Source organism: Homo sapiens, chromosome 1, assembly GCF_000001405.40.
Source record: "Homo sapiens chromosome 1, GRCh38.p14 Primary Assembly".
NCBI lineage: Eukaryota > Metazoa > Chordata > Mammalia > Primates > Hominidae > Homo > Homo sapiens.
Window position 1 is genome coordinate 78,647,402 of NC_000001.11, and position 23,956 is coordinate 78,671,357.

Genomic DNA, 23,956 nt, shown 5'->3' on the forward strand with positions numbered 1-23,956 from the left:
CCTTCCACATTGCCCTAGCAGAGGTTCTCTATGAGGGCTCTGACCTTGCAGCAGACTTCTACCTGGACATCCAGGTGTTTCCATATATCCTCTGAAATCTAGGCAGAAGTTCCCAAACCTTATTCTTGCTCTCTGTGTACCCACAGGACCAAGACCTTATGGAAGCTGCCAAGGCTGGGGGTTTGCACCCTCTGAAGCAATTTCCTGAGCTGTACCTTGGCCCTGTTTAGCCACGGCTGGAGTGGCCGTGACACAGTCCCGAGGCTACATACAGTAGTGGGACCCTGGACCCAGCCCAGGAAACCATTTTTTCCCTCCTAGGCCTCTAGGCCTGTGATAGAAGGGCCCGCCATAAGATCTCTGACATGCCCTTGAGACATTTTCCCCATTGTCTTGGTGATTAACATTCAATTTCTTGTTATGTATGCAAACTTCTGCTGCTAGCTTGAATTTCTCCCCAGAAAATAGGGTTTTCTTTTCTATCCCATTGCCAGCCTGTGAATTTTTGAACTTTCATGCTCTGCTTTCTCTTGAATGCTTTGCTGCTTAGAAATTTCTTCTGCCAGATACATAAAATCATCTCTCTCAGGTTTAAAGTTCCACAAATCTCTAGGGCAGGGGCAAAATGCTGCCAGTCTCTGCTAAAGCACAGCAAGAGTCACTTTTGCTCCAGTTCCCAACAAGTTTCTCATCTCCATCTGAGACCTCCTCAGCCTAAACTTTATTGTCCATATTACTATCAGCATTTTGTTCAAAGCCACTCAACAAGTCTCTAGGAAGTTCCAAACTTTCCCACAATTTTGTCTTCTTCTGAGTCCTCTAAACTGTTCCAGCCTCTGTTGGTTACGTTCCAAAGTTGCTTCCACATTTTTGGGTATCCTTATAGCAGTGCCCCACTCCCTCTGTACCGATTTACTGTATTAGTCTGTTCTCACACTGCTATAAAGAACTGCCTGAGACTGGGTAATGTATAAAGGAAAGAGGTTTAATTGACTCACAGTTCCACAGGGCTGAGGAGGCCTCAGGAAGCTTACAATCATGTCAGAAAGGGAAGCAAACATGTCCTTCTTCACGTGGCAGCAGGAGAGGGAAATGAGTGCCCAGAGAAAGGGGAAGCCCTTTATAAAACCATCACATCTTATAAGAACTAACTCACTATGATGCGAACTGCCCCATGATTCAATTATCTCCACCTGGTCCCTCCATTCTACTGTTCACTGCTATCCTCCTCCAAACTTTACTCTGCACTAACCATACTGAACTCCTTACTTCAAAAAGCTGCCACAGGGGTGATTATCCTTGCCATTCTCTCTGCTTATAAAGCACTTTTCCTAGATATTTCCATGGTACTCCCTCTCACTCCATTCAGGACACTTCTCCAATGACATCTCATTAGATAGACCTTTCCTGATTATGCTGTCTAAAGTAGGAGATTTCTTCCCACATCACTCCTATTCCTCCTCTTTTTCTCACTTAATACTCCAAAACTCTGTTTATTTACTTGAAAAGTGGCAATAATATTGGTGTCCTCATCATAAAGTTATTAAAATAAACACACGAGATACATGTAAATTGTCTTGCAAATAATGTCTATAATAATATAATTTTTAAAGCCAAGTATATAATACCTCATAAGCTGCTTAAAATATTTTTATTTGATGATGCTATTGTTTTTAATAGGGCCAGCAAATTAAAAAAACCTTTTTAGGGCAGGCAGGTAATTTAAATTTTTTAGAACCAGTCAGGTATAAAGCAAGAGGGGACAAAGGAGGACTGGAGAGTGGATGCCCAATGATATAAAAGCATTCACGTTCAACAATTAAAAACTATAAAGACATTACATTGGCCCTACAGAACAAATGTGCGGATTGAATTCTGCCTATAGGACACGAATTTATGATCCTTAGCAATGTGAAGTTAGAGAAGGGGTTTTATTGTGAAATTGACACAGGTTGTTTTATATCTTATAAATGAAGTCTCCTCATTTTCCTGTGGTCAGAAGAGAGGGGGCAAGCAGAAAAGCAGAGGAACAAATTTGGAGGCTAAAATAACATTCTACATAAGGAACTATACTACAGTAGAATTAATTGATAGCAGGGATTAAGAGATGTAAATGAATTTGAGATACATATTCTAGAGGTAGAATGTGCAATACTTTTTGTATGTCCATATACAGAAATTGGTTGCATTTTCCTTAAATAAAAAGATTTTTTAAAAGTTAGTGAGCTGTTATGTTTTCTTCCCTCTGACTTCAATTCCTTGATTCTTTCAATTTTTTTAATATAAATTTACTGTCTAAAAGCTGGATCAGCTTATGCTCCTTTGTTGAGAGAAGTTGGCATGCTGTCAAGTGGGCTGGGCACACTGAGTTTCAGTTTCCTTTCTCTGAGTCTTTGAAGCTTCAAGGCTGCTGAATAATTTCCTTCTCCCATTTTGTGCCTGCCTAGCTATCCAGACAGAGCAGCTACCCTCAGCTCTAGCTGATACTACAGACAGTACAACAGGTAAATGTCTTTCTGCTTTTCATTTTTCCTAGCTAGCATTAGTCTCTCTCTGTCTCTCTCAGGTGACAGTGTCACTTGCCAATCTCAGTTTTTGTTTTAATTTAAAAAACAATAATTTATAGTAAAAAATTAGCTAATGATTTTTTTGCTTTCTGTTCATCCTTTGTTTTGTCATTTTTTGTATTATGTAGAGTATATAAGAGGCATAAATGCAAATTTTATAACTACATATTATCTGTTTTTTAATATTTAATGGAAAATATATATGATTTGCCACTAGATCAAGAAGTATGGCAGTGACAACTCGTTTGACATGGTTGCACGAAAAGATCCTGCAAAATCATTTTGGAGGGAAGCGGCTTAGCCTTCTCTATAAGGGTAGTGTCCATGGATTCCGTAATGGAGTTTTGCTTGACAGATGTTGTAATCAAGGGCCTACTCTAACAGTGATTTATAGTGAAGATCATATTATTGGAGCATATGCAGAAGAGAGTTACCAGGAAGGAAAGTATGCTTCCATCATCCTTTTTGCACTTCAAGATACTAAAATTTCAGAATGGAAACTAGGACTATGTACACCAGAAACACTGTTTTGTTGTGATGTTACAAAATATAACTCCCCAACTAATTTCCAGATAGATGGAAGAAATAGAAAAGTGATTATGGACTTAAAGACAATGGAAAATCTTGGACTTGCTCAAAATTGTACTATCTCTATTCAGGATTATGAAGTTTTTCGATGCGAAGGTAGGTTTAATTAGATAATCCTGTAGAGAGTTCTCCCTTGCATGTTTGGTAGGTTTGAACCAATTCATCTCTTTAAGGAAAAATGAACTTTTCACTTGTCAATAATTTGGATGATTCAGACTGAAACCTGGATACAGATTGTTTGCTAAGAGACAACCATGGTCAATAAAATGTATATTTATGATAAGAACCCTTAACGTAAGATTTATCCTCTTAGCACATTTTAAGTACAGTAAATCTTCTGTTAATGTGGACTATAGGTTCTTGGAAAATGTGACTTAAGTGAAAAAACTTACAACGAAACCAGTTTATTTCCCTCATCATTATAGAAGAAAGACATTATTCAGGGACATGCTGTATGTTGTTTTGCTTAAAATTACAGTTTCCAAGAATCCATGGTGATGTTAAGTGACGACTTACCATGTACCAGCAGTGGTCACCAACCTTTTTGGCACCAGGGACCAGTTTCGTGGAAGACAATTTTTCCACAGACTGGTGGTGGGGGGATGATTTCAAGCGCATTACATTTATTGTGCACTTTATTTATATTGCTACTATGTTGTAATATACAATGAAATAATTACACAACTCATTGTAATGTAGAATCAGCGGGAACCCGGAGCTTGTTTTCCTGCAACTAAACGGTCCCATCTTGGGGTGATGGGAGACAGTGAATCATCAAGCATTAGATTATCATAAGGAGCATGCAGCCTAGATCCCTCATGCACAATTCATAATATGGTTTGCGCTCCTATGAGAATCTAATTCCGCCACCGATCTGACAGGAAGCAGAGTTCAGGCTGTAATATGAGCAATGGGGAGCAGCTGTAAATACAGATGAAGCTTCACTCGCCTGCCTCTCACGTCCTGCTCTGTGGCCTGGATCCGAACTGGCCACAAAGAGCCACGGCTCCGTGGTCCCGGGAGTTGGGGACCCCTGCCATATGGTATTGTTGCTGTAGGTACTATGCTGTACAGTAGATCTCTGGGACTTAATTATCTTGCATAAGTAAAACTTTATGCCCTTTGACAAATGTATCCTCCTTTCCTCCTTCCAACAGTCCCTGGCAAACCACCATTCTAACTCTGCTTTTATGAATTCGACTATTTTAGATTCCTCATATAAGCGGGATTATGTAGTATTTGTCCTTTTGTGTCTGGCTTATTTCACTTAGCATAATATCTAATATTGCTGTATTAGTAATTTCAAAGATAGAGGCAAGCAGAAACCTAAGAAAAGGCAGAAAGAGTACTTAGATATTCTGTGTGGCTCCCTAAATCTTTCCTTTCCATATTGGACATATGCTTTAAGGGCCAGAAAAATAGGCAGGGGTTTTAAGTGAAGTTTATGGGCCACTTTACATATTGAAAAATTACACACCAGTTTCCACGACATTTTCAAGGCAGGCAAGCATGCCCCCTTAATCCATGGAATCTGGATTTTTTTTTTTGAGACAGAGTCTCTGTCACCCAGGCTGGAGCGCAGTGGCATGATCTCAGCTCACTGCAACTTCCGCCCCGCGGGATCAAGTAATTCTCCTGCCTCAGCCTCCCGAGTAACTGGGATTACAGGCGGACACCACCATCCCCGGCTAATTTTTTGTATTTTTAATAGAGACAGGGTTTCACCTTGCTGGCCAGGCTGGTCTCGAACTCCTGACCTCGTAATCCGCTTGCCTTGGCCTCCCTAAGTGCTGGGATAACAGGCGTGAGCCACCGTGCCCGGCTGGAATCTAGATTTATTTACTAAGTAATGCTTAGCCACAGGTATCCTGTTAAGGACGTTCAAGAGATGTGTAGTATTCCGTGTGGGAAATATCATTAGTCTATTTACCAGGACATAAAATTACCAGCGTATTTATTAGAAAATTAGACTCAGTCAGTTGTCTTCCTTTTTTCCCTGAGAGTGTTCCCTGGTAAAGTGAGTGAATGTATCTGTCTAGCTGCTTTAGCTCCTACCTTCCTAGTGATTCACCCTTATTTTTGTACGTAGCAATAGTTTGTTCCTTTTCATTCATATAGTATTCCATTGTGGTGCATCCTGCACAGTATTTTATCCAATCATCACTGGTGGACATTTGTTTTCCAGTTTGGGGCTATTACAAATAATACTGCTATAAATATTATTATTGTACTTATCTTTTGGTTGGTACATATAATTGTTTTTTGAAGAAAATACAATGAAATTGCTGGATCATAGGGTATGTATATGTTCATTTTCAGTTGACACTGATGAAATTTCCCAACATAGTTTTATATAAATTTCTAGAACTATAAGTAGTGTACAAAGGTCTCTGTCACTCCAAATCTTTTTCAGCATTTTGTTTTATTTTTAGATTATGTAACTATTTTGGTATATGAGTGGTGATATGACATTTAGCAAATTTGTCTTTCTTTGATAAAACAAGATAATTATTTATTTTACATTTTAAAATAATCAATTACTATATTAATTTATCCTTTCTTCACGTTTTAAAATTTGGTTTTATATTTTATAATTTCTCTTTATATTTGTGTGGTTTGTTTCTTTATTCTTTTTTATTCTATTTTCAATTTTCAATGTTTTCCTTCTTGCCATTAATGAAATGGGATTTTATCAAAACATTGACATAAAGGTTCATATTGCTATTTCCTATATATTTATAATTGTGGTTTTTATTTCCTTTTGGGTATTAAAGTTATTTAAGACAGTTCTTTTTAAACTCCCAGGAGGCTGCTTTTCCAATTGTTTGTACTTGCACTTTGCTAGTCTTATTACATTATAGATATTGAGTGAAGTTTTCATAATTTCTACTATTGGTAATTTATTGTTTACTTTGTTGCCATACATATAGCCATGTTTATAAATGTTCCACATGATATTCTTCTTTTGTAGTTGAGAGAATTGGTAGCATCGCTTATCCTTATCCTTTCTGTTTTAAATTCACCATAAAAATGTCTCTTTCCAAAAAAAAAATTCTGAGCCCGTGCCTTATTGATCTGAATGAAATCCACTGCTTACCCCTGAACAATTTACTGTGCTCTGGTTGGGTAGGCATGAGTCTCATCTTCTCTTCTGGGAGCAGGAATAAAATTAAGTGAGCTGGAAGTTCCTGGAGTTCCAATTGTTAATAGCAGGTTGTAGAGAAAATCTAGTGCCTGTGTTTTCTGTTTTTGTGTCTCTGCACATTATTCCTCTCAGACTTATTGGATTATGGAGGGGAAAATGTCTTATTAGACATTCCCACATTTCCACATTAGATATTCCCACATCTCTAGGCCTTGCTTCTTTTATTTAGAAAACACCCACAGCCTCAATTCCCATGTCGGAGTAAGTTACACACTACTGTTGAGTAATTGAATGAGAAGAGATCTGCTGATAGTACAGAGGGTCTACTTACCTCTAGCCCTAGCCTCTTCAAATGAGATGATGTTAAAGAGATTTATCAGAATTTGCTCTACAAAATTGCTCCCTTTTCACCATACGGGACCATTCTCATGGAAAGGCTATTTTTGTATTTGTCCCTAGTGAATTCACTGATATTCATTCATTCATTCAGCCAATTATTCGACAACTTCTAATCTACATTATTCTTTGATTATTTCCCCAGATTCACTGGATGAAAGAAAGATAAAAGGGGTCATTGAGTAAGTCAATGTTTTTAAGATTCTATTACTCTCTTCATTATCTTTGACTTATTCTATGATAGGTCTCATCAATATAATTGGCAACACATATTATCACACATAACTTGTGGATCATCAAGAACAAACTGTATTTATAATCATAAAATATTTGATAATATTAATGTTAAAAAAAAGGACACTGAGTAGAGGAAAGGAATTTTAATGTCATATACTTGAAGAAAAATAATTACTTGTTTGTATGTCTGTGTTTTGCTTAGAATTCTTGCAGTTAATATTTCAACTACTCTAGAGAGTTGCTGTAGAAGAAGTGGTTGGTGGGTGGAGAAAACCTACCATGAACTTCAAGAACATGTTAGAAATTGTCTACTTTCATGAACTTCAGAAGTCATATATATTGTGACTTATATATATGTGACACAATATATATGACTTCTGAAGTTTAGTCTTAAATAATTGATCTTTATGTTTAAAACAGCTATTACTTATCTTTAGATTTATATGGTCTAGTAATTTAAATCTGAAAGATTTTATGTCTGGCTTTAGTTGTGTATTATTTTTGCCTTTTGTTCTTTTTGCAATAGGATTTCAGGTAGGTTCGTCTCATGTCTTTCATGTAAGAAGTCAAGTTGCTAATCAAAAATAATATCTATGAAAAAATGAATTCTCAGAAAATTTATAATAAGGTTTTGCGACCTAACCTCAGTCAATTGTTAAAAACGGTCATGTCTAAACAGGCTCAGGAAGAGCTTACTGTCTGCCTTGAGAACTTATGAACCATATGGATCCCTGGTTCAACAAATACGAATTCTGCTGCTGGGTCCAATTGGAGCTGGGAAGTCCAGCTTTTTCAACTCAGTGAGGTCTGTTTTCCAAGGGCATGTAACGCATCAGGCTTTGGTGGGCACTAATACAACTGGGATATCTGAGAAGGTAAGCACATTTGAGGCCACCTAGCCTTTGCTTCTCTGTTCAAATCAATTATATTTCAAAAGCCTTTTGCAGATCAACTTTATTACATATAGACTTCATCTCAATTTATAATAAAAAATGAATCTTTAAAATTGCTTTTCTCCCCTCTACAGTATAGGACATACTCTATTAGAGACGGGAAAGATGGCAAATACCTGCCGTTTATTCTGTGTGACTCACTGGGGCTGAGTGAGAAAGAAGGCGGCCTGTGCAGGGATGACATATTCTATATCTTGAACGGTAACATTCGTGATAGATACCAGGTAATATTTGACTAATGAGAAATTATAACTGATTTTTAAAATGCTTATTTTTGTACAAATGTATCAGCGTTTATCTTCTTAAATTATACTTGCTCAAGATCCTTTGTCTCTTTTAGATTTTTTTTTTCAAAAAGAATAAAAACATCTCGAGGGCTCTTCCATCATGGCTATCTTAACAGCTACTCCACTTTCTATTGCTTTCAGCTATGTGAAACAGAAATCCAACTACATCAACTTACCCACACAGATAATTTTTCTTATGTAAGAGGAAGTCTGAAGGCAGGCAGCTTGGGACCAGTGTGGCAGCTATCTGAAGTTACTAACTTCAGAGATCCTTCTGACTTTTTGAGGCCCTCAGCATGGGCTGTTAAGATATGCCTCCCCCAAATTTATATGTTGAAGTCCCTAGTCCTCAATGTGATGGTATTTGGAGGTAGCGACTTTGGGAGGTAATTAGGTCATGAAGATAGAGACCTCATGAATGGGATTAGTGCTCTTATATACATAAGAAAGATGATCTCTTTCTGTCATGTGAAGATAAAGCCTGAAGGTGACTCTCTATAAACCAGGAAGAGGACCGTGACTAGAAACTGAATCTTCTGGCCCCTTGATCTTGAAATTCCCAGCCTCCAGAACTGTGAGAAATAAATGTTTGTTGTTTAAGCACCCGATCTGTATAATGTGTCATAGCAGCCCCACCTGACTGAGACGTATGGCTGTCATTTTTATGTGAAAAAACACTGAGCACTGTCAGTGATCCAGGCAAGAGGAAGGGGAGATCAAAAAACCATCTAAGTATATATTTTTTAAACTTGTAGTCTTTTAATGAACATTCAGATCTCGAATTAATCAGTAAGTTTACTTTGTTCCAAATGGCAGTTAATGATGCCAGCATCACTGAATGCCTTTTGTATCTTTCCATTATGAAATATTTGGGTCAGTTTTTGTATTGTCTAGTTTTTTCTATTGATGTAGTGATCTATTATTTCATGACAGCATTTTAATTATTTTAATTACTATATTATCTAATTGCTTTAATTACCGTAGTAATCAATTATGGCTTGATAAGTTACCAGACAAGTCACATTCATTTTTTATTACTCCTATTTGTTTTTCTTGGCAATTTTCATACATAGGCCTTTTCAAGTGAGGTTTTTTGTGCTTTGTTTGATCATTTGTGTTTGATTTCTTGTTGTTTAGATTGAAATTATATTTACACTTTATACTGAAAATTGATTGACATCTTTACATATCTCGTGTGCCTATTAAAAAACACAGCAAGTTTTGTTTTTCTATTCATGCAAGATTTTTTCATTCTTTAGTATAGAGTTATCTTGTAAATGCTGTTTATTTTTAAATATTCTTTTTTAAATACAAACTTTTTATCATAGAGAATTTTAAAATATACAAAGTAGTTTAATGGATTCCCATGTACTCAGCATCAAAAATTTTTGACTCACAGCCAATCTCGTTTTATCTATATCTACCCACTTTCTCTTCTCTCTTATTATTTTGAAGCAAACCCAAGAAATCATAACATTTCATTCAATATTGAATATACATATAACTATATAAATAGGAGCATATATATATTTCTCCTTAAACATAGCCATAATACTCTTATCCCACCTAAAATTTACAATCATTCCATAAATTATCAAATACAACTCAATGTTCAAATTTCTAATTGCTTTATAAATATACATCTTTAAGTTTGTTTGAAAAACATTCAAATAGGTCTATTCAGTCTCTTTGATTGTATGTTCTGACTTTATATCCCTTGCTTTTTCCTTATCATTTGTTTCTTAAGAAATCTAGTTGTTTTGTAGACTTCTACGTAATCTGAACTCCATTATTTGCATCCCTCGGGGTAGTTTTACATGGTCCTCTGTTTTCTGTGTGTCCTGATTATTGAGAGTTGAAGCTAAAGTGTGTTTCAATTTAGGTTCTACTTCATAGATTGTGTTGTATTATATGAAACCATGCACAATATGGGGATTTATCCCTTTTCTAATACTGGTGTTAATCAATGTTTAATTCCTAGATCCATTTATTTGTTAAAGTGTGAAAATAGTGACATTCTATATTATTCTTTCACCATTTCACATATGAAAGGAAGCTTACCCTCATCCATTCTTTGATTACCCAGTGGCACAGTTTAAAAAGAACAACAGGATATATGCTTGAAATTTTTGCCTTTTTGCAAGACTTTGAAATTATAACATCTCCTTCGCCTTTGCCAATAGGGTCAAGATATTATTTTATTGTTATTAAGAACTCAATATGAATTGAACATACATTGTGTGTTTCAATCCATTGTAGGTTTTCTCCATACTGATGTAAAATGTACCATCTTGTACCAGTGAAAGCCTCTACAATTTGGATCCTGAGTCCTTTTGACATGAACCTAAAAGTCTTTTTTATATTCTTTTATTCTTGCCACAGCTTTTGAAACAGCTATTTCTTCAAGTAGTCCTGGTGTGGGGCATTAGAAATGCTCATAGCTACTTGGTTGGTCATTGTTTCTTGACTTTCTCAGTGAGTAGAGTTAAGTAATATACATTTTAATGAAAAAAAATAAATTATAAACTTATACTAAAACTTCTTATTCAAATTCAGTACTAGAAAGTTTTTACTTACTCTCTTTTCTATCACTCGTATATCTGCTTTCACCCAAACTGAGAATTCTCATTCTCAAAAACACTGGAGGTAACAGAATATCATGTCACAGCTCATTTCCTTTATCTTATATAACATCTATAGTAACCTCAGTATAAAAGCTCTATCAGTACCATGAACAATCTCATCATAATCACACTTAATATCGTTTCATATAATCACAATCAAAACTGGAAACAATTAAAACATTTTAGCATATTTTTATAGTGTGTTTAGGTTGTATCATGTATCCTTGGAGGGGTGTACAAATTATTGTATTTTAAAGTCAATCAGAATAGTTTATTCTTGTATTATAACCATAACAGTTCACTAATTAAATTAAATTTAGGAATTGAATTGTTAAGTTAATTTGGTTTTATATTTATGTTTAGCATTTATGTGGTTCAAAGATCAAATCTACAAAATAATGTATAGTCAAAGAATCTATCTTCCTTCTCTGCCCCTTCAAATAAATTTCTCCCCTCTTCCCATTAGTAACCATATAAAATTTATATTTTACTTGCCTTTTAAAATATGTAACAAAGTACATATAAATTTGCTGCTACTCCCTTCTTAGAGAAGTGGTAGAAAACTATGTTATATTGACTTATCAGACATTGTTTAACTGACATGGCATTTTTCTGCTACAAATGTTCCAGCAGTTAATAATCTTTGCATATATCATTTTGCATTTTTGTCAGTATATCAGTGGGACAGATTCCCAACAGAGAAGTGCTAGATGAAGAGTAAAGTCATCTCACCTTGGACCCCTTCCCTCCTTGCGCTCTGCTTGATGGTACCAGCTTTTTTTTCTGAATGCTCTTACTTCCATCTGTGGGCAGATTGCCTCTCTTATCTAGAACACTTTCAGCCATATCCTTATTCTCTTTAGCAGACTCACTCCTGCTATTTTAGCTCTCAGATTACATGTCCTTTCCTCACAGAGGCCTTACTTGACTAGGTGAAAGGACTGCTGGCTTACTTGCATAATGCCTGTCTTCTCTACCAAGATTGTTAGCCTCATACTATTAGAGACTTTTCTGTTTTGTTTACCATTTGATTCACTTGCACAGTGCCTGGTACATAGTTTGTGCTCATAAATATTTGTTGAATTAATATCTTGCTTTATGTCTACCTTACAGTTTAATCCCATGGAATCAATCAAATTAAATCATCATGACTACATTGATTCCCCATCGCTGAAGGACAGAATTCATTGTGTGGCATTTGTATTTGATGCCAGCTCTATTCAATACTTCTCCTCTCAGATGATAGTAAAGATCAAAAGAATTCGAAGGGAGTTGGTAAACGCTGGTGAGTCTCATTCCACTTTGCTAAGGGTAATACCACTAAGGGTAATTGACTAGACTGTATTTTAGAATGCTTTTTGGACAGGATAAAGAACTTAAGTCATTGCATATTTCAATCTTCCCTAGCCTACCAGGATGCTTCAATGAAATTGAGCATTCATTGGCTATATGACTTTGTGCAAGTAACTTAAACTCTCTGTGCCTCAATTCTCTAATCAATAAAATTAGTATAATAATAGTACCTCTTAGAGACTTTTTTGTTAAGAATTAAAACAAATTAATGCATATGTGAAGGGTAGTACAATCTGAACTACATGCTACCCCTATATCTTCGCATGCTTTATTGACCAATATTGGGCCTTGAGCTTTAAGAATTAGAAAATGAAGAAGAAACATTTCCGAAAGGAAAAGAAACAGGAAGGTAAGATGTTTGTAGGGAGAGGTAAAGAGTTTGGAGAAGGTAACCAGGATCAGGGATTTAGGGTGAGCCATTCTGGCTTTTCTTGTCATATCCACTTTGAGTGAGAAAGAGCCAGTTTATCACTGTTCTTAGTTTTGAAGCAGAGAGTGATCAACTTACCTGCTTGCTGAAATTTAAAACTTTGCAAAGAGGAGATGTGCAGAGAGATGATTGCTAGTGTTGTGAAATAAGGGAAGTTTACTTGTGATGCTTTGACACATTCTGTCTCTTTCTTGAGGATTCTTCTCCCCCATCTTGTTTATTAGAGCCCTTTGGTCTTTAGTCTCTGTCAAAACACAACTTCTGGACAGAATATGAAATCAATCAGTAATATTGCAGCATAAATTTTAGTTACCTCTTCCAAGAGGTGGTTTCATTTGAGGCCTCATTTGTTACCATTGAAATCAATGAAGGTGACTCCCCATGTCAGAGAAATTCCAGATACTAATAAGTAGTCCAGGGGAGTTTTTTGGGGAGATGAGGGTGACCGGGGTGTGGGGGATCTTTCCAAATCTGAAATTGTTCCATAGGTTGCCTATTACATAATTGATAGTTAAATAACTTGAAAATACTGATGCTCTCTAAAATGATTTAAAAAATTCTGTTTGGCATAGGTGTGGTACATGTGGCTTTGCTCACTCATGTGGATAGCATGGATTTGATTACAAAAGGTGACCTTATAGAAATAGAGAGATGTGAGCCTGTGAGGTCCAAGGTAATGAATGATGCCCTTCGTAAACACATTTTCTGGGGTATGTTACTACAATCACATACTAGTGTGTATAAAAATAAAAACAAGCAGCTACTGGGTTTAAGAAGAATTACAAAATTACTTAAATAGGGCCCGTTTCCCAAGATTTAAAAATTAAATACAGTTGTTCCTTGGTATTTGCAGGGGATTAGTTCCAGGACTTTGCATTGTTACCAAAATCTGTGGATGCTTAATGGCATAGTATTTGTATTTGCATATAACCTATGCACATCCTTTGGTATACTTTAAATAATATCTAGATTACTTATAATACCTAACCCAAATTAAATGCTTTGTAAATAGTTGTTCTACTCTATTTTTCATTATTAATGACAAGAAAATAACCTGTACATGTTCAGTACAGATGAAATATTTTTTCAAAATTTATTTTTTTGAGATGAAGTTTCTGTTGCCCAGGCTGGAGTGCAGTGGCATGATTTCGGCTCACTGCAACCTCCGCCTCCTGGGTTCAAGTGATTCTCCTGCCTCTGTCTCTCAGCAGCTGGGATTACAGGCACATGCCACCATGCCTGGCTAATCTTTTCTGTATTTTTGTAGAGATTAGGTTTCACCATGTTGGCCAGGCTGGTCTCAAACTCCTGACCTCAGGTGATCTGCTCATCTCGGTCCCCCAAAGTTCTGGGATTAAGGCATGAGTCCCTATACCCAGCCATTTTTTTTCAATTTTTTTTGAGCCTTAGTTGAACTCACAGATGCAGAACCCATGGATACAGAAGGCTAACTGTCTATCTTTACACTGACATGGGTAAGTTCATTTATTACAATTTAATTCAACTAGATTCAATTCAATAAATGTTTATTGATATTATCTTTAAGGTTGAGCCAGTGTGTTACTCTCTTATCAGCTACACAGATCATGAAAAAAATTCCCCCGCACTAAAAATTTTACAATTTTATAAATAGTGGTGAGGGGATGGGAGTGTGGGATAAGAAAAAGTTGACAAGAGATTATGTACGATTGAGTGTGATAAATATAATGAAACAATGAAAAATAAAGTGCTTTAAAAGTTTAGAGAAGGAAAGTATAGTGTTAAAGGGGTTCGGGGAGATTTCATCAATGGAACGGCACAGGGAAACGGCTTTCAAGGAGAAGAAATATTTCACAAAATGAAGAGACAAAAAGGGCCAACAAATTCAGCATAAGACAATATATTAATGGAGGAAAAGTCAGCATGTTTGGGAAATGTGGAGTTCAGGTTAGTGAAGGGCTGGATCTTTGTAGGCAGAGATAAAATGGGCAAGGAACATTTGCATGAAGTAATTTTATTTAATTAGGAGCATTATGAGGAATCACAGCAATTTTTTGAAAGAGTAATGATATGATCAAAGTTAATTAAAGTTATGATCTTCAGAAAAATTAATCTGGCACTGTGTACAGAATAGATTGGAATCAAAAGGAACCTGGAGGTGGGAACACCAGTTGGGAGAATGCAATGATAGCAAGTATTTGTTGAGCACTAAGTATGTGATAGATTTTCTTAATCAGTCCTTATAACAAGCCTATGAAATGGGTACTATCATTACTGCATTTTACAAGTGAGGAAACAAAGAAAACAGAGTAAACATCTGCCAACGTTTATTGACAGTGCTGAGCAGTGACAGATAAATATTTCGAACCTAGGCAGTTTGATTCTAGAGGTAAAATAGTCTAAACAAGAATTAAACGTTAAACTGGTCTAATAAAATCTACTTATCCAGAGAATGTTTTTTAAAAGAAACAGGAAATATATGGACTGTAGGATAGGTGTCATAAAAATTTTGTTTCTAAATCATTTAGAATCCACTGCATGTATTCCAAATTACAATTATCAGTGACATTAGAACTTGATATGTGAAGTTCTTCAAGAGTACTTTGTGAGACCAGATCTCCATTTTTTTCCAATGGGAAATTATTGCAAGTTCCTACATCTTGATATTGCTTTCATAATTTATACTAACATAAAATAATATTTTTCACTGTTTTGCAATGTCTTTTTAATTTCTGTATTGCAGCTAGAGGAAGTCCAAAGAAAACTTGGATTTGCTCTTTCTGACATCTCGGTGGTTAGCAATTATTCCTCTGAGTGGGAGCTGGACCCTGTAAAGGATGTTCTAATTCTTTCTGCTCTGAGACGAATGCTATGGGCTGCAGATGACTTCTTAGAGGATTTGCCTTTTGAGCAAATAGGTAGATGGTTTGGTGGTGTGGAAGCTTGGAAGCGGTCAGGTAGTTGGCTACTTTCTGCTTGGATCTATTAAATACCTGGCAGCTCTCTGTCTTTTTGTGGGTTGTTGCCCTGTGATTAGTTCTGCTTTTTAACCCACTCCCTGGATGCATTTTTCCCTCCTTGCATTTCCCTCTTTTCCTGGAGTTCATACTAGAGAATCTGCACTATGTTTTTCCCTTTTTGTCTTGAGATGAAAGTTTTAAAATAATCCACCTCTGTCATTTCCACTCTCTGAACATCCCAAGCTGTATCCCTGGCCTCTTTTCTCAGACTATGTTTCTTTACTTGGGACCTAGAACTGGATTGGATTGGCATTGCTCCTGATCAGATGAGACCTTTGATTATTTGCCCCTTCCTTAGGACCTTACACTCCTGTCTTTCTTTGACTTGCCTTTTTGTTTCTTTCCTTCATCTTAGTCCCTCTTCATGCAGTATGGTCATTGCTAGGTAGAGGTATGTCCTTTTATGTAATGGCCACCGCATTTAGTATTACATAAACTTTCTTTTAACAATCTGTGCATAGTACATGCTGCTCTGTTCCATTTAGAGATTTGACAGAGGTTTCAGTTTAGTATACTCAAATCTTATTTTAGTGCTTGGGAAATCAATTCAGAATATCACATCCTCTCCAATTCTCTCTTACTCAAATTGCTGGGAAACTCTCATGTTACTAACTTTGTTGCTCTAACTCTGCCATCTTGGTTTCCCCATCCCTTCTCTTCCTCATGGTACGTGTGCTCCTAATATTAGCGTTGGTTGAGATTTTCAGTGGTCCAATATTCCTCTTCCCTCTGGTTGCCTTTCCTGAGATAATCCACTAAGAATATTTTGTGTTTCTTTTCTCAGGGAATCTAAGGGAGGAAATTATCAACTGTGCACAAGGAAAAAAATAGATATGTGAAAGGTTCACGTAAATTTCCTCACATCACAGAAGATTAAAATTCAGAAAGGAGAAAACACAGACCAAAGAGAAGTATCTAAGACCAAAGGGATGTGTTTTATTAATGTCTAGGATGAAGAAATGCATAGAACATTGTAGTACTTGTAAATAACTAGAAATAACATGATTTAGTCATAATTGTGAAAAATAATAATAATTTTTCTTGGATTTATGTTCTGTATCTGTGAAAAAATAAATTTCTTATAAAACTCGGGTCTAACTTGAGAGTGTGTGTGATTTTGGAAAAATTATGATTTGTCAGCATCTTCTGATATTCACTGCTTTCATCTTAATTTTGCCTTCTGATTTTATTTCTAAAGTATGTGATTTTGGCCTGTATGAATCCCTTCTTAATGTTGTATTCTTTCACCTAAAGCCATTTTTGCTTAATGTTTGATACTTACCGAATGTGGTAATTAATATTCATAAGAATTCTGTAAGACTAAAACTGAAAGAGGCTATAGCTTGATTACTTTATAGTTATAACTATTTTAGTTACAAGTGACAACACTCACCCTGAACTATATGAATAAAAAAGAGGATTATAGTATTGGATCAAGTAATCAAACCAAAGAAAGGGCATAGAACTGGCTTCAGAAATGATTGAATCTGGGGATTTAAAAGCTGTTGACTATTTCTCTCTCTCTAGCTGTCTCTCTATTTCGGTCTCTGTCTCTCTCGCTCTCTCTCTCACACACACATTCACCCCTTCATTATTCCTTTATGTGTTGCTATCATTCTCTCAGGTTAGCATCCTTGATAATCTTAAGCCAACTTAATTCAAGTCTTATTAATACATATAAAATTATTAGCAATTACTTTTAAAAAGCTTTTTTTTAAAATATAGTATAAACATAAAAAGTGCATGATTCATGTATATGGCCCAATGCATTTTTATAAACTTAACAAATCCAAGAAACTAGCACTCAGATAAGAAACAGAACTTCACCAGCAGGCATGTCAGAAGTCCCACTTATGCCCCAGCCTAGTTATTAGCCAGGGTATCCACTATTCTGAGTGTTACCCTGCTGATGGTAAACCTTAGCTGAAGGCAAAGTTAGGTCCACAAAATGGGCAAAATTGAAGGCAGTATATCTGACAGTATAGGACAATTTTGACTCATCTGAGGTAATGCTTGCTATTCTGATTCATGCTGTGGTTAATGCCCTTGCATTTAGCGCATATGAGATCCACATGATCAGTCAATTAAGAATACACTTTGAGGAGCATTAAATTATGAAAATCTGTAGCAATTTTGTGGAAGAATTAAAATGGATCATGTCAGTGGCCACCAAATAAAGCCTAGTTACTGGCTAAAGAGGCATTAGAATACAAAGGCTGATATACTGGTCCATTCCTTGGATGTCTTCATTTGGGTACATGAAATAAACGGAGATATTGTCATTCAAGCTATAAACATTGGGTGGAATCACGACATACTCCTTTATGGAAACTGCTAATGTAGTAACACAGCATTCAGAATGCTAATAGAGAATTTCTAAAACACGGCTTTTGGTAAGATTCTTTGAAAGCAAAGAACCACAGGTAGACTATGTAGAAACCTTACTAGTAGCCCCAGGTGTCTTCAACTGGGTTCTGACTAGAATAAATGAATGTCGGGCTTTGACTTTGCTTATACTTTGGGTGTAGCAATGTCTTAGGACAGTGGTCCCCAACATTTTTGGCACCAGGGACTGGTTTTATGGAAGACAATTTTTCCACAGACCAGTGGTGGGTCAGGTGGTTTTGGGATGATTCAAGCACATTACATTTATTGTGCACTTTATTGCCATTATTATTACATTATAATATAAAAAGAAATCATTATACAACTCACCATAGTGTATAATCTGCGGGAGTCCTGAGCTTGTTTTGCTGCAATTAGACAGTTCCATCTTGGGGTGATGCATGACAGTGACAAATCATTAGACATTGGATTCTCATAAGGAGCGCACAATCTAGATCCCTTACACGCGCAGTTCACAATAGGGTTCACATTCCTATGAAAATCTAATTCCACCGCTGATCTGACAGGAGGCAGAGCTTAGGCAGTAATGTGAGCAATGGGGAGCAGCTGTAAATACAGATGGAGCTTCCCTCAGTCACCCGCTGCTCATGTCCTGCTGTGTGGCCTGGTCCCTAACAGGTCACAACTCATACTGGTCTGTGGCTTGGGGGATGGGCATCCCTGGCCTAGGACACTATTAAAGATGTGGAACAACAGAATGTGAATAAGCTCAGTTTCCTAGGTTGCATTTCCTTAAATCAGAGTATACACATCATGTTGCCTATGTACAAAACCGAGCTAAGAGACTCAGCATCATATGGACTTATGAAGTTCTGCATCATCAATATAGCAACAGTTTGATCAAGAACTGAAATGGGTCATTCTGCCCTTTTTCAGCGTTCAACATGTCTAAGCAAGGATGTGGTGGGTTCTCCAGTGTGAAATACTGGAATTCCTTGGGTTTTCTGATAGGAGCCAAGATCAATTGTGTTGACAACACAGGAGCCAAAAATCTCTATATCATGTCTGTGAAGGGAATCAAAGGGCAGCTGAACAGACTTTCCACTGCTGGAGTGGGTGACATGGTGATGGTCAGTCAATAAAGGCAAACAACCAGAGCTCAGAAAGGAAGTATATCCAGCAGTGGTAGTTCAACAAAAAAAAAGTCATACCAAAGAAAGAATGGCATGTTTCTTTATTTTGCAGATAATATAGGGGTCATAGAAAACAATGAAGGCAAGATGGAAAGGTCCTGCCATCATAAGACCAGTTGGAAAGGAGTGTGCAGACTTGTGGCCCAGGATTGTGTTAGATGCTGACAGCATTGCGTGATTCTCCAGTATATTTGTGTTAAAAAAAAAAAGGCAAGTAACTAATTAAAAATATTTGCTCTTCCCACTCCCCAAAAAACTAACTGGAATGGGCAATTAAAATATCTGTTGATAAAAACTGGTGATGATGAGGTCATGAAGGACTACCTGGCCGGATTGGGTGAATTTAAAGCAGAAAAACCCATTGGGAAGAATTTTGGTAAATGGTTGTAGGGATAAAGAGAAGATTGATGATGCATTTGCACAACTTTATCTTTCCAACAAAAATTTTCTTTTATCTTGCCAGATCAAGTTGTATCAGCTACAATAGCATATCCCAGCATAGGGAGGCATCACCACTCAGGATACTATTTCAATCCCTGTGAATTTGACTTGCATCCTGGTAAGGAAACAATGGACTTGATAGTGACTCCATCTCATGCATAAAGTAGGACTGGCTGTAAGTGTTGCTCCATTGCCTACAAGTGGGGTGGTCCCATCACTACTTATATTTATAGTTCTTCTTCCTGGGGAAGGCCTGGCAGGGTTATTCCAGCTATTTGCCTTATGTAGGTAAGCAGTAGAGACACACCCAAGGAGTAAAATCTGGTAATAAGTAGGTAACAAATGGAAAGCAAAGGGGGAATTGTGGCAGATGAGAAAGGTGTGCATAAAATGTGTAATGATGCTGAGAATGAACACATCACTTTTATCCTAAGAGAATATCTCAGAACAAGACGAAAACACTCTTAACAGTTTCTGTATTCTGTAGTACCAAGTAATTGCCAGCTCAGAAAGAAGATCCTAAAATTTTCTCCCACTGGAAAGGAGAATGGCATTGAAGCCAAGCTACAAGATTAGGCCAAGAACTCTGCTTAGGTTATTTACTGAAAAGACATCAATTACCCTCGATGACCTACCTTTATATTAACTGGTTGAAATTTTCATTTGAATCTCATTTTGTTGGTTACATTTATCGTAGTAGTTCTGTTGTAGGCTGGAGAGAAATCTTACCCTTGAGCTGAGCTGGTTGTATTGTGACTCTCAGCTGGGTATGGCTATGAAGAAAAATGTGCCATCACTGCATTTCTAATAGGCTGGAATCCCCTTTGCTCTTTTCAATAAATCACATGTGAATGTGGAAGAAATATTAAACAAATAGGACATTGGAATGGAGTCCAAGAGAGTAAACTATTGCTTGATATGATGATCAAATATCACTGATGGATTTGCCTTTGAAACTTTGAAAAGAATGATTATGGGCAGTCTTATGCATATTAAATTGAACTGCACCTAGGAGTCATCATGTTCAACTGACAATCTTCTGGAAGATCAGTATTTTGGGTGCCAATTATATACTTCAACAGCACTCACAGCATAAAGAGTTAGTAGCAACTATACTTACGGCATTAACTAAAACCAGCTCCAACATGCTAAGAGGGATTTGGGATCCCTGGGAATTAAATTTGATGTGGTAATGAAGTGCAGATGGTTTTCTGGAGGCTCATTTTTGTGAGAAGGAATTTTAACTCATGGTCACTAGAAGGAATTATTTCTCAGGAATCTTGCCTGTGCTGGGTAGGCCAGTTAGACAATAAAACTATTTGAAATTTAAAAAGAAAGAAAAGAAGGAAGGAAGAAATAGGGGAAGAAAAGAAGAAAGGAAGTAAAAGAGGAGGGAAGGAATTAAAGAAGGTAGGAAGGAAAGGAGGGATGGAAGGAGAGAGAGAAACAGTGGGGCTGGGTAAACTAGAGACTTTGGCTGTGGAAACACTAGTGTCAACCTACTATGGCAAGCTATTACTGGGAATGCAGTCTTTACTGCTAATTTCTTATAACCAGAGTACCCAACTTTAAAAGAAAGCCATATTCCTTATGGTGAAATTGGTTGAGATTGGACAGATTAAGTATCAACACCATTTCCTTTCTATGGGAAACAGATGCTACTTAAAAGCCTTTATCAGTAAAACCTTATTCTGTAAAGGCTGGCATATGTTTTTCTCTCAGACCAGATGGTACTTGGAATTTACAGAGCAGTGGCCTCTGGTAACTACCCCAGTTACAGGAAAATATATAGCATGCAGAAAATGGAATATTTACTGGGATGGGTAGTAAAATGACACAGTAGTATTATTGATGTGTAGTGTGTTAAGCATTATTTAAATTTCCTACCATAACTCTTTGGTGCAATAATGGATATATAGACTCATTTTCACATTACTATGAAAATAAAACTTTCATAGATAGTGAACTTTCACAATGCAATGATCTCCCATTTGACTAATTACCTATGGAAGCTAACTGTCCAGAGGAAGAAGTAAATTTAATTTTGGAAAAGTATACATGCAGTTGAATGCCTCTATCAACATCTACAAAATATGCAAGTAATTGTGAATAAAAACATAAAGTAGTCCATCTATTAAAAAATCATCTACAAAATATGCAAGTAATTGTGAATAAAAACATAAAGTAGTCCATCTATTAAAAAATATCAAAACACTTGTATGTTGTATGTTCTTGGTAAACGTATTTTGCTGAAGGAATTCCAACTCTATATTTAATGATGCAGATCTTGGTGGCCTTCCATTTTAATGTTTTAGTACTTCTGTTTTTGTCTATTAAGCATTGTTGAAGTTGCTTTAATAATAAGCAACTTCATATAATCTAATAAGAATTATTAGAAAATGTCTTAGGAATAGGCAGCAATGATATATTGACAAGTTTTCGGAAAGGAAGGTTTAACAGCTAGTTTTAGGATTACCTGGGGAATTGACTATTGGTCAATTTTCTTTGTAATGAACACAGAGTTCAAGATAAAGGAGAATCTGTTAAAAATTCTGGAGCATACCAAGTGCATGTTATTGAATAACGAGGAAACAGCATTGATGAAATGTAGCTTCCTCAGAGAGTAGGAAGGGGAGGAAGGGTCTGCATGAGTAGCTGTGTGTAAAAGGTAAAGGCCTTTCAGGGATGATGGCTTCCTTAAGCCGAGGTTATCCTCAGATATGTAGCTTCCTCTCTCATGTGAAATGACAGAAACAAACCAACCAAACAAAAAGCCAGCATTCAATAAACTAATTATCTTGAACTAGATTTGGCCCCCTAAAATATAATCCTCTTCCAAGCCTAAGTACAACCAACTCAGAATCCTCTTATGAGCTCATCAAAGCTCAGTTAATCACTGCTATAAAACACCAGAAATAACCGGAGCATGGCCAAAAATCTTATAGTCTGGCGTTATATCATTATTATAATGTTGCTGAGTAGGTTTAATACTTTCTGTATGGATCAACTTAATTGTTGACACTAGAGTAGGTCTAACACTTTAGACCTACTCACTAACATTGACCCATTATTCTAATGTCAGTGAGTAGGTCTAATACTGTATGGGTCAACAGCTACTTATTGTTGACATTACTAATACTGTATAATCTAATACTATTGGGTCAACGTTACCGATTATTAACATTATTGTGAGACCTACTCACAATAATGAGTAGGTCTATAATGTGAGACCTACTCATTATTGTGAGACCTACTCACAGTAATGTTAGTGAGTAAGTCTAATACTGTATGGGTCAACTTAATTGTTGACTTTAGACTTTATGTGAGTAGAATCACACAGAATGTACTCTTTTTTGTTTTTTTGCTCTGTAGTTTTTTTTTTTTTTTTTAGTGTTCTTTCCTGGCATTAGTATCAGGGTGATATTGGCTTCATAGAATGAGTTAGAGAGGATTTTATCTTTCTCAATCTTATGAAATCGTTTCAGTAGGATTTGTGGCAACTCTTTTTTGAAGATCTGGTAGAGTTTGGCTGTTAATCCATGTGGCTTTGGGCTCAGTGTTTGTTGGCAATTTTTTAAATGACTGATTCAACCTGACTGCTTGTTATTGGTCTGTTCAGGATTTCTATTTTTTCCTTGTTCAAGCTAGAAGAGTTGTATGTTTCCAAGAATTTATCTATTTCCTCTAGATTTTCTCATTTGAGTGTATAGAGGTGCTCATAGTAGTCTCAAATGATCTTTTGTATTTCTGTGGCATTGTTTGTAACGTCTCCATTTTCTTTTCTAATTAAGCTTATTTGAATTTTCTCTCTTCTTTTTTGGTTAATCTAGCTAATATTCTATCAATTTTATCTTTTCATAAAGCCAAGTTTTTGTTTCATTGGTCTTTTGTAATTTTTTTGTTTCAATTTCATTTAGCTCTGCTCTGATCTTCATTATTTCTTTTATACTGCTAGCTTTGGGTTTGATTTGTTCTTGTTTCTCTAGTTCGTTGAGGTGTGACATTAAGTTGCCAATTCGTGATCTTTCAGACTTTTTGATGTAGGCTTTTCGCACTCTGAACTTTCCTCTTAGCACTGCTTTTGCAGTATCCCAGAGGTTTTGATAACTTCTGTCACAATTTTTATGCATTTCAAATCATTTTTAAATTTCCATCTTGATTTTATTTTTAATCCCAACATCATTCAGGAGCAGATTGCCTAATTACCATGTATTTGTATAGTTTTGAGTTTCCTCTTGGAGTTGATTTCTACTTGTATTCCACAGTGGTCTGAGAAGAACTTGATATAATTTTGATTTTTAAAAATTTATTAAGACTTGTTTTGTGGCCTACTGTATGGCCCATATTGGATAATGTTTCTTGTGCTGACAAGAAGAATGCATATTCTGCGTTGCTTG

The 23,956-nt window shown here is 36.2% G+C and overlaps 1 protein-coding gene and 1 pseudogene across 10 annotated transcripts, besides 1 other annotated feature; both read left to right on the forward strand.

Moving 5' to 3' along the window:
- Positions 2,265-2,534: an enhancer, noted in NCBI's record as "active region_1237". NCBI's record gives its function as "activates an Ori minimal core promoter by ATAC-STARR-seq in GM12878 lymphoblastoid cells {active_cell/tissue: GM12878}" and the evidence as "EXISTENCE:reporter gene assay evidence [ECO:0000049][PMID:35858748]".
- IFI44 (interferon induced protein 44) lies at positions 2,388-16,677 on the forward strand. Of its 10 annotated transcripts, NM_006417.5 has the most exons (9): positions 2,430-2,504; positions 2,785-3,251; positions 6,842-6,878; positions 7,613-7,808; positions 7,961-8,110; positions 11,911-12,082; positions 13,153-13,253; positions 15,303-15,477; positions 16,364-16,672. In NM_006417.5, exons 2-9 carry the CDS (start codon positions 2,795-2,797, stop codon positions 16,408-16,410), a joined length of 1,335 nt encoding a protein of 444 aa, NP_006408.3. In that variant the 5' UTR covers positions 2,430-2,504; positions 2,785-2,794; the 3' UTR covers positions 16,411-16,672. The 10 variants fall into 10 exon arrangements, 8 of the variants coding, with proteins under 8 accessions (NP_006408.3, XP_011538818.1, XP_047289594.1 ...); NR_135641.1 differs by lacking the exon at positions 13,153-13,253 and having other exon boundaries at positions 2,388-2,504; positions 16,364-16,677; XM_011540516.4 differs by lacking the exon at positions 2,430-2,504 and having other exon boundaries at positions 15,303-15,516; positions 16,364-16,677.
- On the forward strand, positions 18,870-19,296 carry RPL23P3 (ribosomal protein L23 pseudogene 3; annotated as a pseudogene).